The following is a 15,615-nucleotide window of genomic DNA, read 5'->3' on the forward strand; positions in this document are numbered from 1 at the left end:
AACCACATGATTATCTGCATAGATGCAGAAAGGGCCTTTGACAAAATTCAACAACCCTTCATGCTAAAAACTCTTAATAAATTAGGTATTGATGGGACGTATTTCAAAATAATAAGAGCTATCTATGACAAACCCACAGCCAATATCATACTGAATGGGCAAAAACTGGAAGCATTCCCTTGAAAACTGGCACAAGACAGGGATGCCCTCTCTCACCACTCCTATTCAACATAGTGTTGGAAGTTCTGGCCAGGGCAATTAGGCAGGAGAAGGAAATAAAGGGTATTCAAGTAGGAAAAGAGGAAGTCAAATTGTCCCTGTTTGCAGATGACATGATTGTATATCTAGAAAACCCCATTGTCTCAGCCCAAAATCTCCTTAAGCTGATAAGCAACTTCAGCAAAGTCTCAGGATACAAAATCAATGTACAAAAGTCACAAGCATTCTTATACACCAATAACAGACAAACAGAGAGCCAAATCATGAGTGAACTCCCATTCACAATTGCTTCAAAGAGAATAAAATACCTAGGAATCCAACTTACAAGGGATGTGAAGGACCTCTTCAAGGAGAACTACAAACCACTGCTCAACGAAATAAAAGAGGATACAAACAAATGGAAGAACATTCTATGCTCATGGGTAGGAAGAATTAATATCGTGAAAATGGCCATACTGCCCAAGGTAATTTACAGATTCAATGCCATCCCCATCAAGCTACCAATGCCTTTCTTCACAGAATTGGAAGAAACTACTTTAAAGTTCATATGGAACCAAAAAAGAGCCCGCATTGCCAAGGCAATCCTAAGCCAAAAGAAAAAAGCTGGAGGCATCACACTACCTGACTTCAAACTATACTACAAGGCTACAGTAACCAAAACAGCATGGTACTGGTACCAAAACACAGATATAGAACAATGGAACAGAACAGAGCCCTCAGAAATAATGCTGCATATCTACAACTATCTGATCTTTGACCAACCTGAGAAAAACAAGCAATGGGGAAAGGATTCCCTATTTAATAAATGGTGCTGGGAAAACTGGCTAGCCATATGTAGAAAGCTGAAACTGGATCCCTTCCTTACACCTTATACAAAAATCAATTCAAGATGGATTAAAGACTTAAACGTTAGACCTAAAACCATAAAAACCCTAGAAGAAAACCTAGGCATTACCATTCAGGACATAAGCATGGGTAAGGACTTCATGTCTAAAACACCAAAAGCAAAGGCAACAAAAGCCAAAATTGACAAATGGGATCTAATTAAACTAAAGAGTTTCTGCACAGCAAAAGAAACTACCATCAGAGTGAACAGGCAACCTACAAAATGGGAGAAAATTTTCGCAACCTACTCATCTGACAAAGGGCTAATATCCAGAATCTACAATGAACTCAAACAAATTTACAAGATAAAAACAAACAACCCCATCGAAAAGTGGGTGAAGGACATGAACAGACACTTCTCAAAAGAAGACATTTATGCAGCCAAAAACACATGAAAAAATGCTCACCATCACTGGCCATCAGAGAAATGCAAATCAAAACCACAATGAGATACCATCTCACACCAGTTAGAATGGCAATCATTAAAAAGTCAGGAAACAACAGGTGCTGGAGAGGATGTGGAGAAATAGGAACACTTTTACACTGTTGGTGGGACTGTAAACTAGTTCAACCATTGTGGAAGTCAGTGTGGCGATTCCTCAGGGATCTAGAACTAGAAATACCATTTGACCCAGCCATCCCATTACTGGGTATATACCCAAAGGACTATAAATCATGCTGCTATAAAGACACATGCACACATATGTTTATTGTGGCATTATTCACAATAGCAAAGACTTGGAACCAACCCAAATGTCCAACAATGATAGACTGGATTAAGAAAATGTGGCACATATACACCATGGAACACTATGCAGCCATTAAAAATGATGAGTTCATGTCCTTTGTAGGGACATGGATGAAATTGGAAATCATCATTCTCAGTAAACTATCGCAAGAACAAAAAACCAAACGCCGCATATTCTCACTCATAGGTGGGAATTGAACAATGAGATCACATGGACACAGGAAGGGGAACATCACACTCTGGGGACTGTAGTGGGGTGGGGGGAGGGGGGAGGGATAGCACTGGGAGATATACCTAATGCTAGATGACCAGTTAGTGGGTGCAGCGCACCAGAATGGCACATGTATACATATGTAACTAACCTGCACAATATGCACATGTACCCTGAAACTTAAAGTATAATAATAAAGAAAAGAAAAGAAAAAGAATATGAACTAAGAAAAACTAAAGTCTAACAGGGGAAACGTGTCAGAAAAAAATACCAATGTAGGTTTTTGAATATGTGAAGGAAAAACTGATTAAATTATGCAGATGAAATAAAAATCAAAAAAAAAAAGAATGGAAAATAAGTCACTTTGATTAAAGCTACTGAAAGTTGGAGTAGATTTAAATGTCCTTTTGTATTTATTTGACTATAATTTCTATTAATTGAAATATTTTAACCAATTTAACCAGTTGGTTTTGTTGTCACAAGCATGATATATTCATTCATACAGTAAGGTTTATGAAGCATCTACTAATGTGCCAGACACAGTCTGGCCATATATGTGTATATTATAAACACACACAGGAGATATATATATTTATGTATAGAGAGAGAGTTTTAAGTATGTAGTATTGAGTATTCAATACTATTAATTCATTTAAAAATAATTCTTGCATGATAACTACTTGGCTATCAGGTATCTGCTAGACCTTGAGAAGGAAGTATGAAGATAACTAAGACATATTTCCTATTTTTCTGAAGCCACAGTCTGGCCAAATTCATGTAACTTGATGGCAATTTGCAGAGAATTTCAAAGTCTGGGGATCATAACTATTTGTACTGAAGACAGAAAAAATAAAAAGGGAAAGAGAAAAAAAGGACCATCAGAAAAGAAGCTCTAAAGTTGAGGAGGAAGAAATTGAGAGATTTGGAAGACTATAAACAGAAACAGACATGACGAATATCATCTAGCGTGAAGAGGGCATATAGGGAAAGAATGTGATGTAAAAGCACAGCTCTAGGAGCTGCTAATTGTATCACAAGCTCTAGTTAGCAGAATAGTAAACTGCAACCTTGTATTTTGTGCCCAATGTTGAATTTAGTTGAATTATAAAGGAGCGACGGAAAGGTTTCCAAAGGCTGAAATATTTTCTAAAGCATATCAGATGTTCAGTAATAATGCAGTCATCTAGGGTAGACAAAACAAAGTTTGTGGACATTTGAACTTGCATTGATTTAAGAGATTATTCAAACCTATATTTATAAAATCATTTTACTCTGAATAGTCTATGAAGACAATAGTAACTTAGCTATGATCTTCCATTGCTCTAATGGGTCCAGGTCACAATATCATGAGCAAAGGTCAAATTTTTAAGAAACAATCCAACAATATGAGCAGCGTGCCATCAAAAACAAGCTTCAACCCTGTAATTATGTAAAGGCCTGCACAAATAGGACAGTCTTTTAACCTAGAAGCTCATTCTGTGCCCTAAATCACACACAAAGGGAAAATGACGGCATGCTATCTCAGGTGGAAACATAAAGTACTTAACTGGGTGACACACAATTGAGGTGGGTACCTGCTAGGACTTCAGTGGTCACTGGAGAAAAATAAAAGCAAGAAGGAAGAGGAGGTCAGCAGTACAGCTGGAGTCACAGTGGGGATTCTAGCAACCCAGTGCCAGAAACAATGGCTAACATGGCTGAGTGCCTCCTCTGCTGACCCCTTCACCTGTATAATGCTATGTGCATCTAACAGAAGCCCAGTACACAGTCACCAACGCCATTCCCATTTTACAGATGCAGGAACTGAAGCTGAGAACGCCTATACAACATGCCCACAGGCTTATGGTCTTCTCTCCAGTCCTCCTCACCTTCAGGCTGAAGAGCTGCAGAAAGTCATGGCATTTATCCTGCATTTTTCTCCATTTGCCTTGCAAATAAATGCCAACAACACGAAAAAAAAAAAATAGTTGAAATAAAAACACCCACAAATAACAGCTTGTCTTTTCCCCTAAGGAGGTAGACAGAATGAAAATAAAGGAAGCCATCATTCTTTATTGGATGCTGGCATGAATCTTGAGCTGGTATGGAAGATTATTTGCTGGATAAACTATTCTTATTTTATATATTTTTATGCATTTATAAAGCTCATTTCAGCTAGGCCTTGTCCCATAAAACCCAAGGGAATTGTAGTAATTCAAAAGTGAAGATACTTTTTGAAATGGAACTAGAACAGTGGTGTAGAAAATGGGTAAAATGAGAAACAAAACTGGATTCAATAAGATTGGATAGATCAGTCTGTGAAGGAAAGTCTACAGGCAACTATTTCAGGGTGAAAAAGAAAAAGTGGTTCTTCAGATGAGAACTACACTTGGCTGCCATAGGTTGGATTCCACCTAAAGATGGGTTTTATTTGCCCTGTACAATGGTTTACAAATATCCAAGCCAACACTAAAAAGCTGTGAATTTCCATATAAAACCAAGTTTTCCGGCTTCTCTTAAAACACAAGTCCATACTAAGACCCCATTTCCACTTGCGATCAGTTGGCAGGGCCTTGCTAGAGTCTTTTCTTTTAGACAGTAGTGAACCCTGAAATGGCCCATGTCCGCCTCGCTCCTTTGACCCTGTTCTCTAGCCTCTGCATTCTATTATCTGCCATGCCTTGCTGACCTCAAAATTTGCAGCTTTCACAACCCGGACGATTCACAGGTGTTCAAGTTGAAGACCAAACTGCTGGCTGACTTAATGTTAGCCAGTTACCATCACCTTGTGTAATTCAGTGAGGCCAAGTCCCAAACACTGACTATATAGTAAGACCTCTCCCCTTTCAGAAGCCCTCAGTGTGGCAGTTTTAAAATACAGCCCTCACATTTTTGACAGTCTTCTCATCAAGCAGTGGGGGCCTCTTTCTCTGGAATCAGGGTTTCTTGGGCTCTGTGACTGCTTGCCCAATAGAATATGACAGAAATGATAGCTGTGTCAGTTTCCAGGCCCAACCTAAGGAAACTGGCTATTTCCACAGACTGTATCTTGGACCATTTGCTGCTAGAACCCAGCCACCATGCTGTGAGGAAGCTAAAGCACCTTGTGGAGAGGCCAGCACAGGGAGAACACAGCCAGGTCGGTGAGCCACTTTGGAAGTGGATCCCCAGCCCCAGGAGAGCCTCTGCAGCATGGTACCCTCACTAGGTCCCGCCCAAATTTCAGATTCATAAACAAAGTAAGTGACTGCTGTAGTTTTAATCCAGTGAACTTTGGGATGGTTTGTTATGCAGCCATCCATAAACAGAGCACCCATTTGGTCTGAACACTGAGAAGGGCTTTCACAGCAGATGAGGGAGGACCAGGAAGGTGCACTTCCCTAAGCGACGGCCCCCAGGTGGCCTTGCTCACCTACCTGGCCGATGTGCCTTTGGAACTGCCATATTCATTACTCTTCCTCCATCCTGAGGTTTGGGGGGAGATGCAGTGAACCTGCAGATTCCCGATTCGGAAGGGGTGCTGGAGGTCAGACTGTCCGTGTACTCATTTGTCCCTGCCGTCAACTGCTCCGATGACGTGTCTGATATGAAGCACTCCGTGATGGTGAACTTGGCGTGCCTCAGTTGCTCTTCCATCTTGGCGTGTTCGTAGGCCCTGGCCAGTTCTTCGTAAGTGGAGGAGGCACTTTCTGTGGAGACCATGCTGCTTCTTGCTCGATCTACACCAGGAAAGAGAAAAACAAGACGGACGACTCACCATCAGAAGTCTGAACCAACGGCATGGCCCTTCCTGGCTTGGGGCTGTTTTCTTCCAGATCATGGTGGGACCTGGTAGGAGTTCTGGCTCCTTGGCGGAGGCTCCTGCCTTAGGCACTCTGAGGCCAGCTTCACAAGTCTCAGCAGATCCGGTTAAGGGAAGCTTTGTTGCAACCAAATTGCTGTAGTCAGATGTCCCAGCTTGGGACATTTCCATAAATAAATAACGCCTTCCCTTTAAAAAAAATCCTGCTTTTAGTGAAAACAGTAGGAGCCAGGCAGCAGCCCCCTCTCTGCTCCAACCTGCAAATGGATCTATGCCCTAGAGACTCTTTAATTGGCATGAATGATTTGAGCTGCAGTTCAGCTTCTGGGGCCTCAGCTCAGGAAGGAAGATGTGATGATATTTAGAAATAAAGATGTCATGTTGCACGGAAATTGGCCACAAGCCAGAATGGCCCCCGACCCCTGGGATGCGTCTTCTGTTGTGATTACCCTTTATGGGGACTAGAAAACCATCAGGACAAAAACTGGTGCCCACATGCCTTTGAGCTGGGCCACGCCATCTTGGTCAGGGAGATGTCTGCGTTTCAAATGCACTAAAAAGTTTTAGGGTCTCCTCTGTGTGGAACTCTGAGACTCTTCTAAGAGAAATCACAGCCTTAAAAATAAATTCACATGGCGATGATCCTCCTCTGGAACACTGTTTTTGAAGTATATCATCAAGAACAAAAGAAAAATGAGTATTAAAATTTCCTACAGCTATTAGATTCAGATGTAATTTCTTTTCAAAATTTAAGAGGGGGTGGTGGGCAACCCGGTGCTATTCTTAGGGCCTGTCTTCTCTCTGAAGTGAAAACTTGGTGGTTGATGGCATAGACTGGATGACTTACCTTATAACCAACCCCTGTTTAATTGTCAAACGGATCAGCCTGTGTTCCCTATAGAGGGTGCTATGACCTCATCATGTAACTTCAAGTGCTGTGTCTTAATCTTGGAGATGGTAATGGGTCAGACGCCCTCAGAGTGTAATCAGCAATTACTGCAATCACGGGGGTGAAAATTTAAAAATGTCTCTATTTCTCCCAGTGGGGTAGGAACTAAATGGAGAAATAAGCTTGGGTCTAAGATTCAGGACACCTGCAGAATAGATGCAGTTTGGCTCTGTTTTGCCCTGTGTGGAGTAAAGGCTGTGCAGTTGTATTAGTAACTGTTAGATAAACCGCGTAACAATTTGAAAGTGACCTTCAAAAGAACATAAGTAAGAGGGAGGAAGCCCTCTCTCCCCTCCCCAAGGAGCCCATGAAGCTCAAGGTGCGGGGGCCGTGCTGGTCCCCAGGGACGGAGGAGGCAGCGTCAGGGCCTACCTGTGTCTTGCGAGGGGCTGACGCTGTAACTGTCGCTCTCTTTGTCTACTGATCCTGCAGCCCTGGGTGTTGGCAGCCTCCAGTCTGTGGTGAGGGTGTGTGCTGAGATGGTGGGGTGGGGTCGGTTGAGGGTCCACTGGCTGGCATAGCGGTTTCTCGCTGTGGGCCCAGCCTTGGCATTCCTCCTGGTGGTGGGATCTGTGAAGAGCCAAGAATCATGTCTGCCTTTGTCTGCAGGAGTGTGGTCAGCTGAGAGCAAGCGTAGAGGTCAGTGCCACCCACCCAGCACTGCCGACTCGCCCACGCCCTCCAGGAAAACTTCCTTGACTTCTCCTGTGCAGAGGATACTTTCCCTTTCCTTTATGGCTTGAAACCTTCATCTGATACTTACGTGTTTAATCAGCCCTGCAGGGAAAAGAACACCCTACTTGGATTCAGAAGTTACATATTTGAGTCTTGCTCTTGGCCTTTAATAATGTTATGACCCTTCTAACATTAAAAGCTAGAAATGGAATGAGGGGAGACTGACAACAATTACAGGACAAAACAAGAAAATTTCAAACAGTGATGAAGATTATAAAGAAAATGAAACCAATTACTGTGCTAGAGAATGACTTGAGAGAGGTACTTTGGTTACGATGTTTGCAACTGCAATTAAATGGATGATAGTACAAAAAATAATGTTATGACCCGATGCACATCATTTAAACTTCCTGGGCATCGTCATATTCTGTAAAACAAGGAAGCTCAGCCCAGTGTGTTCTAACATGACCTCCTTTCTACATCCTTAGGTGTTGTTATGCGTGAATCACGTCCCCCCAAAAGACATGTTCATGTCCTAACCCCCAGGACCTCAGAATGTGTGATCTGGTTTGGAAATAAGGTCATCACAGATGAAATTAGCTAAGACAAGGTCATATTGGAATAGGGTTGGCCCTTAATCCACTGTGACTGGTGTCCTTTTAAGAAGAGGACACAGACACAGGAGGGGAGAGGGCCATGGGATGATGCAGGTGGAGACTGGAGTGCTACAGCTGCAAGCAAATACATTTCTGTGCTGTGAAGCCACCCATTTGGTGGTACTACGTTAAAACAGCTCTAGGAAATTAATACAGATGTTGCCTGTATTTTTGTTTCTCATATTACTACTCATTGTTTTAATGATGACTGTTTTATTCATTAAGTTGAAAGCTCCTAAAGCAGAGGGACCATATTTTTATGTCCCAACTCTCCTTAAGGCCTTGCCTATGATAGCACATCTCTTCAATAGAATTGTCCTAACTTTAACAGAGACAACTTGGGTTATTTAATATGGAGAACAAAGGGTTAAGCTGGTGCCAGATGGGTTTCATTTTCTCTAAATCTGGAACCAAAGGCAGCAAGTCTATGGGGTGGACGGAGTTCTTAGCTCAACCCTTTGGTGAGGTAAGAAGAAGGATGTTCCACCAGCAGAGACTGTCAGGTACCAGAATGGGCTACAACATCGCCTCTTCTGGAATTCTGTGGAAAATGAGAGAGGTTCAGTTACCTGGAATGATTTTTCTGGGGCTCCAGCCTGGAGACAGCTTAAGGTCCTAGATGGGTCTTTTCTACCTTTGAATTCTCTGCTTCTCAAAGAGCAGTTTGATACAGTTATATTTCAGTATGGTCTGGCCACTTCTAAACCCAGCAGACTGTATTCACTGTTGGGCTCTCACGAAGTTTCAAAGGAGCAAAACTGACAGGGCCGGCCTGTAATGTTATTGCACCGATTTATTTATGTGCTTTCATGAGCCTGGCAGTGTCTCCAGGGCAGGGGCAATGGTATCCCTCTGTGGATCCATTCATAGAGCCTACAATAATCCCTGACATACAGAGTTTTCTGAAGGAATTCATAGACCTAGGGTCACTTTATGAAGGCAATGGAAGCTCAGAGAGAAGTGACATAGCTGTTACGTGATAAAACTATAACCCAAACCTTCTGCCTTTTCAGTTCAGATAACGCCTGTTACTTGACCACATATGGCCAAATCCTGAGTGTCTAAGTTTCCTAGTGCTGTGTCTACATGACCTTGGCTTGCTTATAATTCCATGTTGGAATGTGAAAGGCTAACACTGGGAAGGTGCAATGACTTTGTTTTTAAACGGGAGATTTCCTCACTGCAAGTTTCTAGTTAATTCGACTTTGAATCTAATCTATCATTCTGTGTCGCTGGAGAGGTGCGTTAAGATGGCAGCCAAAGAGATAGATTTTAAGATCTCCTAAATCATCAGAATACTCAATCTTGGTAAATATTCTCTGGGGCATTGATTTTAAGACACATTTCATCCCTTACTTGCACAATTCCACGGAAGACTTCATTAGATTTTTTTTGTCCTTGATGAGAATGTAAATGAGTTATGTTGGAGCTCTACACAACCAGGTATGAATGATAATTGGGTTTCTTCACCGAAATGCTAGGAAAGAGGCCCTCAAAAAGACAGAAAAACATTATGATGGGGAAGAGGCTAAATGTCTTCCAGGCACTATCGACTTGATAAGTGGAGCTTAAATAAGTGAAGCTTGTTATTTAAATGCTAATGAGTCTTTTCCAGAAAATTACCCAGTCCCTTACATAAGTTTTGAAAATTCTCATTTTTATTCTTCTTTAAGTTTCTTGCAACTACAACTGTTGTAGCTCATTCTGAGCAGGTTTACTTCTGGCATGGAAGTTGGGGGGTGGTTGGGGGGTATAGTTTGCTAGTCCCACTTCAAGGATACAGTCATTTCCTCCAATCCCCCAAACCTTGACCCTCATTTCTTCTGCTTGAGCTCACTCTCCAATGGTGGGGCAAAGATCTTCACTGTCATAGCCCCTTTCCTCATTGAGATCACCCTACTTGGAAAATTCCATGGGAAAGTCGCACATGCAGCCTTGATTCAAAGCCTGGTCTCTTTTCAAGTTAATTTTGTTCATAATCTCTTTTTTTCTAGATGAGGACAGTTTTACTGGTGGCCTGATAATGTTGAAAATTTAGGTCATGATATTAGTTTCCTTAAACCACAGCCCTCAGTTCTGTACTGCGCTAGGCAGGCATCCTAGGGTCAAAATTGCCTCAGTATGTAGAATACTGGGGTATTTGACACATTTATTTTTTAATAATTTGGTTTTTGGAGCCATTGTTTTGTACCTGAACTGAACTCTGCTGTATGATAATGACTAAGATAGCAGCTAAAATATAATTTTTACTTGGATTCCACAGGAAGCCTTTTTTGTGTAACTTACTAGCTCATCTACTGAGCAAATAAACGCTGGGATTTACTGCTCCTTCATGGAAAGTATTTTGTTAGGCTCCCAGCATTCTAATATAAATAAAACTCGGTGATTAAGCTTCATGCCTGCTCAGCAGCCCATGAGTTGGAGGGCACAGGATATAAATAGCTCATGGCCTTTCAACATGGGGTTTGAACCCTAATTAAGCTTCTGCCCATTGAATCAGATTATTTTAATTATCCTGAGTTTGGGATGAGAGAGGATTTTGTAGATAATATAATAGGTTACAGAACATGTCATGCGTACTGTGATCATGGTATTAATCTGCTTTCATCTGTGCCATTGGTTTCCATATCTTGCAGTTGTGGAGGTCCAGCTTTACATAACGAATTTACTAGTTGTCTCAGAGAGAGGATGAAACTGGGAGATCTGAACACTCCCTCATGTAACTAAAAAATATTTATCTAGCACTTATTACATCCTGGACCACTGGATGCACCTCACCCACCCCAGGTATTTCCCTCAGGGCCACTGCTAGTCCCATCCTGGGTAACAGAGGGCATTTTTTCTTTCAAAGTCTCAGCAATAAAGATTCAAGTCCATGTTGTAAGCTCTTGTCATTGAATGTGCGTACATGTGAAGTCTATTCTTTAGTCTCTACATATTCTATATGTAGTATCTCTACCTAAAGGCCATGTAGAATGACTGAGAGTGAGAGCTTTGGAATTAGGCTGCCTGGGCTGGAAGTTCATATTCACTACTCCCTGGCTGTGTCGCTGGCCAAGTGACCTTGTCAGACAGACCTGACTAATCCCCTAGTCTCTGAGACTAGGTGATGTCATCACCCACGTTAAGAGCTGTCCTGAAGTTTAAATGAGATTAATGTGCCCAAGTGCTCCGGGCACATGGCACAGGCACAGCTGGCCGTGCCCATGATTCCTATGCAGCAAACATGACTCAATGTCTTTTCTTTTCCATTCCCATTGTTCTGATCTCAGAACTTGATGGCTGATTGGTATTTATCCACTACATGCCTGTGTCAGACACTGTGGCTGGTATGGGGATGAGGACATGGATAGAGTCCTAGTTTTCCAGTGTATTATAATCCACAGGAAAGACAGAGAAGTAATCAGTGCAGCAGAACCAGCCAAGGGATGTGTTTTCACTACTGACAGAGATAAATAGCAAATTGTTATGATTTCTTCCATCCTCATAAGAATCTGTTGCAACCCTCTGGCAAACTAATAAAATGCCTAGAAACATAACTTCTACAATGCAGTCATTCTGGTATGCAAGCAACATGTTTTAGATGCTTTTCTTAAAAATAAAGAATTCTTGCAATGACAACACAGTCCTAACATACAAAATAGAATCACGATGTGTTCTCTAGCTGAGAAAATAGAGAATACAAATGATTCTCTGCAAGTATGCCAAACTGTGGTGAGAAGAACCGGCTCCATGGAATTCACAGAGGTATAAACACCTGGGCAGAGGTGAGAAGCTCTGGTGCAAGAAGCTAGTGGGGGACTGTGCTTCAGAAAGTTCATGGGTTTCAGACTCTTGAACCCACTGTGGGGCCAGTCACCTACCATTTCTAACTCTAAATAAAACACGGAGTGTTGTCAGTCCCTCACACTGTGGTTTTTGAGGAAGATTTAATGAAAAAAATGATCCAGCAGATCTTTTACTAATACAGAGGGTTCTGCAAATGCTAAATTAATACGCTCAATTTGGAGAGTGAGGGGGGAACCAGAGACTGATGCATGCATTTGAGTAGATTTGCTTGATGTTGGTAAACATCATTTAGTGAAATTCAGCACAAAGGACAGAAACATTGTTCTATAAGCTATAGTGTTTCCCTGTGATCATCAGGCTAAGCCCCAGGGACAGCATCTCAGCACTCTCAGAATGAAATGCACCTGCCAGGCACTGGCTTAGGGGACCCTGAAAGATGAGGACAGCTGTTTCTCTGTCTCACCTTTTCCCTGCCTTTCACTGTGCTCCAGTGCCACTTCCATCCTCATCATGCGGGGAACCTTGGGAGCTTTTCCCTGCTGCCCCCTCTGCTCCTGCTGTGACTCTGATCTTGTTTCATGTCTTCCCCTCACTGGAAGTCCTCCTGAATGACTTGGACCCAAGAGAGCCCCTCCCACTGCTCCACACGCCCGCTGACTCACCATGGCTTCATTCTCTTTCTGTCTAGGACTTACTGAGAAATGAAAACTACTTTAGTTCCATGTCTAATGTCTGCCCCCTGACTAGGATGAAATGAATGTCTTTTTGCATCTTACTCATGGTGTATCTCCATCATACAGCACTGAGCCATATACGTAAAGTGAAACCTGAATAAATACTTTTGAGTGCTGAATGAACGCATTAACATTCCCAGCCCTGCTTCCAACTTTATAGCCATGAGATACACACACGTCCCTCCCATGTGCGTCCTGCCTGGCACTCGCTGACCACTGGTTTACAGTATCTGCTGTGACTCCGGTTCATGTCTCTGTTGATATTTTACATGCCAACAAATCAACTTCCCCATTATTCTGGGGCTGACCATGAAGCTGGAAGGTTGCCAGTGCTTTTGTTTTGGGCTGCTGCTTCTCCTGTCTTAACTATTTATGACTAGCTTTATGCATTCTCGGCTGCTAGCTGACCATTGACAGGGAAGCAGAAATGCATGTTGCTTTTTACCTGGCAGGAAGAACTGATGTGCCGGAGGGGTCCTGCCCTGCTGCGTTACATGCAGGAAACATTTCTAACCCTTGGGGCAGTGTTTCTCAATGTGGGGTCCAAACGGCCAGCATCAGAATCACCCAGGGTGTCTGTTACCATGCGGATTCCTAGGCCAGAATCTCTGGGTGGAGGCCTGGAATTGATATTTAAATAGGCACCAGGTGATTCTGATGCATGTAAAGGTGGAGAACGAGACCCAGGGCATCTGCTCTGTTGTCTCTTTTGCCTGCTCTTCTGCCACCGTTTCCAACAGAATGCTGAAGCCAATGCTGCATCACTCTAAAAATCTAATCCTTTCAATATCTGTAACTTTTTCTGATTTAGCAGCAAAAAAGTGGCTCTTAAACCCATTGGAGCAGTGTCTTGGAGTAGCAGCAAGCCACACCAGGCAGTTCACAAGGGAGAAGCCAACGGCTGAAGAGATGTCAAAGCCCTTGAATCTTTTTTTTTTTTGGAGACAGAGTCTCGCTCTGTCGTCCAGGCTGGAGTGCAGTGGCGTGATCTCAGCTCACTGCAAGCTCTGCCTCCCAGGTTCACGCCATTCTCCTGCCTCGGCCTTCTGAGTAGCTGGGACTACAGGTGCCCGCCACCAGGCCGGCTAATTTTTCTTATTTTTAGTAGAGACGAGGTTTCACCATGTTAGCCAGGATGGTCTCAATCTCCTGACCTCGTGATCCGACCGCCTCGGCCTCCCAAAGTGCTGGGATTGAGCCACTGCGCCCAGTCTGGATCATTTTTTAAGAGCAAGGCTCTGGCACACACCCCTTTGCAAAGCTAATTCCCACTCATATCCCGTTTATGTCTTCAGAATGTATTAATGTGATCAAAGAAGAAAGGCGGTAAGAAGATTAGACAAAAGGAAGAGGTAAAAGACTTCTTTAGAATGTAGAATATTCTTGAAAACATTTTTTAAATGAATTTCAATGCCTGCTGAAACTGTTTTCTGTATATTACAATGTTATTTCGTAGGCAATGGGTTTACTTCATAAAGCTCACTGCATTTCGCAAATGCTTCCCAAGCTAGGATTTATGAAGAATAGCTTTTAACATTATAATAGTTATTTTTCTAATAATAACACACTATTCTAAGAATGTAAATTTTTGCAAAGAAATTGATTAGAGATTTGAAAGCTAGACGTCAAAGTTTCCAAAATGATAATAATCAGGACATCAATTTCTCAGTCTTTAAAGAGATTTAGGAACGATTCCAATTATGAAGAAATAAGAGTATCTAATTAATAAGCTCTAGATACATATTAGGGGATTCACCTTCATTGCAGTAATTAATTTCCATATATTATGGATGCAAATATTAATAACAAAATCCAACATAATCTTCACATTAACTAGAATTATAATTTTTCTCAAACAGTGTGTTCAGGGGCAAAAGCATAAGCTTTGGGGATAGATGGGTCTGTTTCTGAATCTTGGTTTTACTACTTATGTGTGCAACTTTATACTGTTTGCATAATTTATCTGAGGCTGCAGTTTTCTCATCTGCAGAATAGAGGCTATGATACCTGCTTCACGAGTAGGTATCTTACAGGATTGTTGCAAAGATAACGTGCATGACATCATCGTTCTATCCCAATACTGGCATACAGCAGATACACACTAAAGTAGATTACTTTTTTCCTTTTCTGTGTTGCTTAAATTAAAAAAATAAATACATGTACCTGAAATTTCTAGCACTTTTTATAGTAACCAATACTAACAGTAATTCAACTGACATAATAATAGCCAAGATCCATCAATAACAGCTCATTATCCCAATTAGGGATGTTATTATACCCATTTGTTTCTCAGGCATAGGTATGAAAAGCCACACATTTTCATTTGAGAGAGAAAGAACATTACTATGTTTTCAGCATTGTTAACACCCACACATTTTAAGCATTGTTGACCACTCACTCGTTCCCGGCCGAGCGTCTGAAACATCCACTAAGGGCCCAGTGGCCTGAGACACCGATTGGTAATGGACCGTGTGAGTGACCGTCAGGGACTTCTGCTTAGCTGCCTCTCCAAAGTCAGCATCCGTCAACAGAACCGTGGAGCGATCATCTACAGGATGGCAGGAACACAGAAAGCCAAACACGTTTATCTCCCTTCCAACCACTCCCTGGCCTTTTCTCTCCTGAGGCACTTGTGTTATTGTTAATGACAACCACAATAATAGCCCCATCTAAAGTGACAAAAATGATTGAAAATTCAAGCACTGAATTAGCATTACTCTAGAGTGCTAGGAATAGAAGCTTCTTCCTAGGGGTTGGCTTTGGGAGCAATGAGCTAAGAAGAACCATGACTATGCAGAGAAGGAGCTCTCTTTTCTCTTTGGGCTTGGCTTTTCATTAAGCTAACATTGATTTGAACTCTGGATTTATGTGTTTGTCAAAAGCTTCTCTGAGACATCATCTGCGATGCCAGCCCCCTCACCAGTGATGAGGCTGTCAATGAAGACAGGTCCCTTTGGCTGCTGGGAAG

At 42.2% G+C, this 15,615-nt stretch overlaps 1 protein-coding gene across 4 annotated transcripts in view; it reads right to left on the reverse strand.

Annotated features, from left to right (window-relative positions):
- The window catches only part of DSCAM (DS cell adhesion molecule), an 836,160-nt gene that overhangs the window by 25,914 nt on the left and 794,631 nt on the right, over positions 1 to 15,615 (reverse strand). For all 4 annotated transcript variants that reach the window (NR_073202.3, NM_001271534.3, NM_001389.5 and 1 more), the window contains 3 exons: positions 15,046 to 15,195; positions 7,166 to 7,363; positions 5,459 to 5,761 (listed from right to left, as the gene is read on the reverse strand). Coding sequence is in view for 3 of the 4 variants with exons in the window: in NM_001271534.3 (NP_001258463.1) it covers positions 5,459 to 5,761; positions 7,166 to 7,363; positions 15,046 to 15,195 (651 nt within the window). In the remaining variant the exon portion in view is untranslated. The remainder of the gene's footprint in view (positions 1 to 5,458; positions 5,762 to 7,165; positions 7,364 to 15,045; positions 15,196 to 15,615) is intronic.

Source organism: Homo sapiens, chromosome 21 (genome assembly GCF_000001405.40).
Source record: "Homo sapiens chromosome 21, GRCh38.p14 Primary Assembly".
Taxonomy (NCBI): Eukaryota; Metazoa; Chordata; class Mammalia; order Primates; family Hominidae; genus Homo; species Homo sapiens.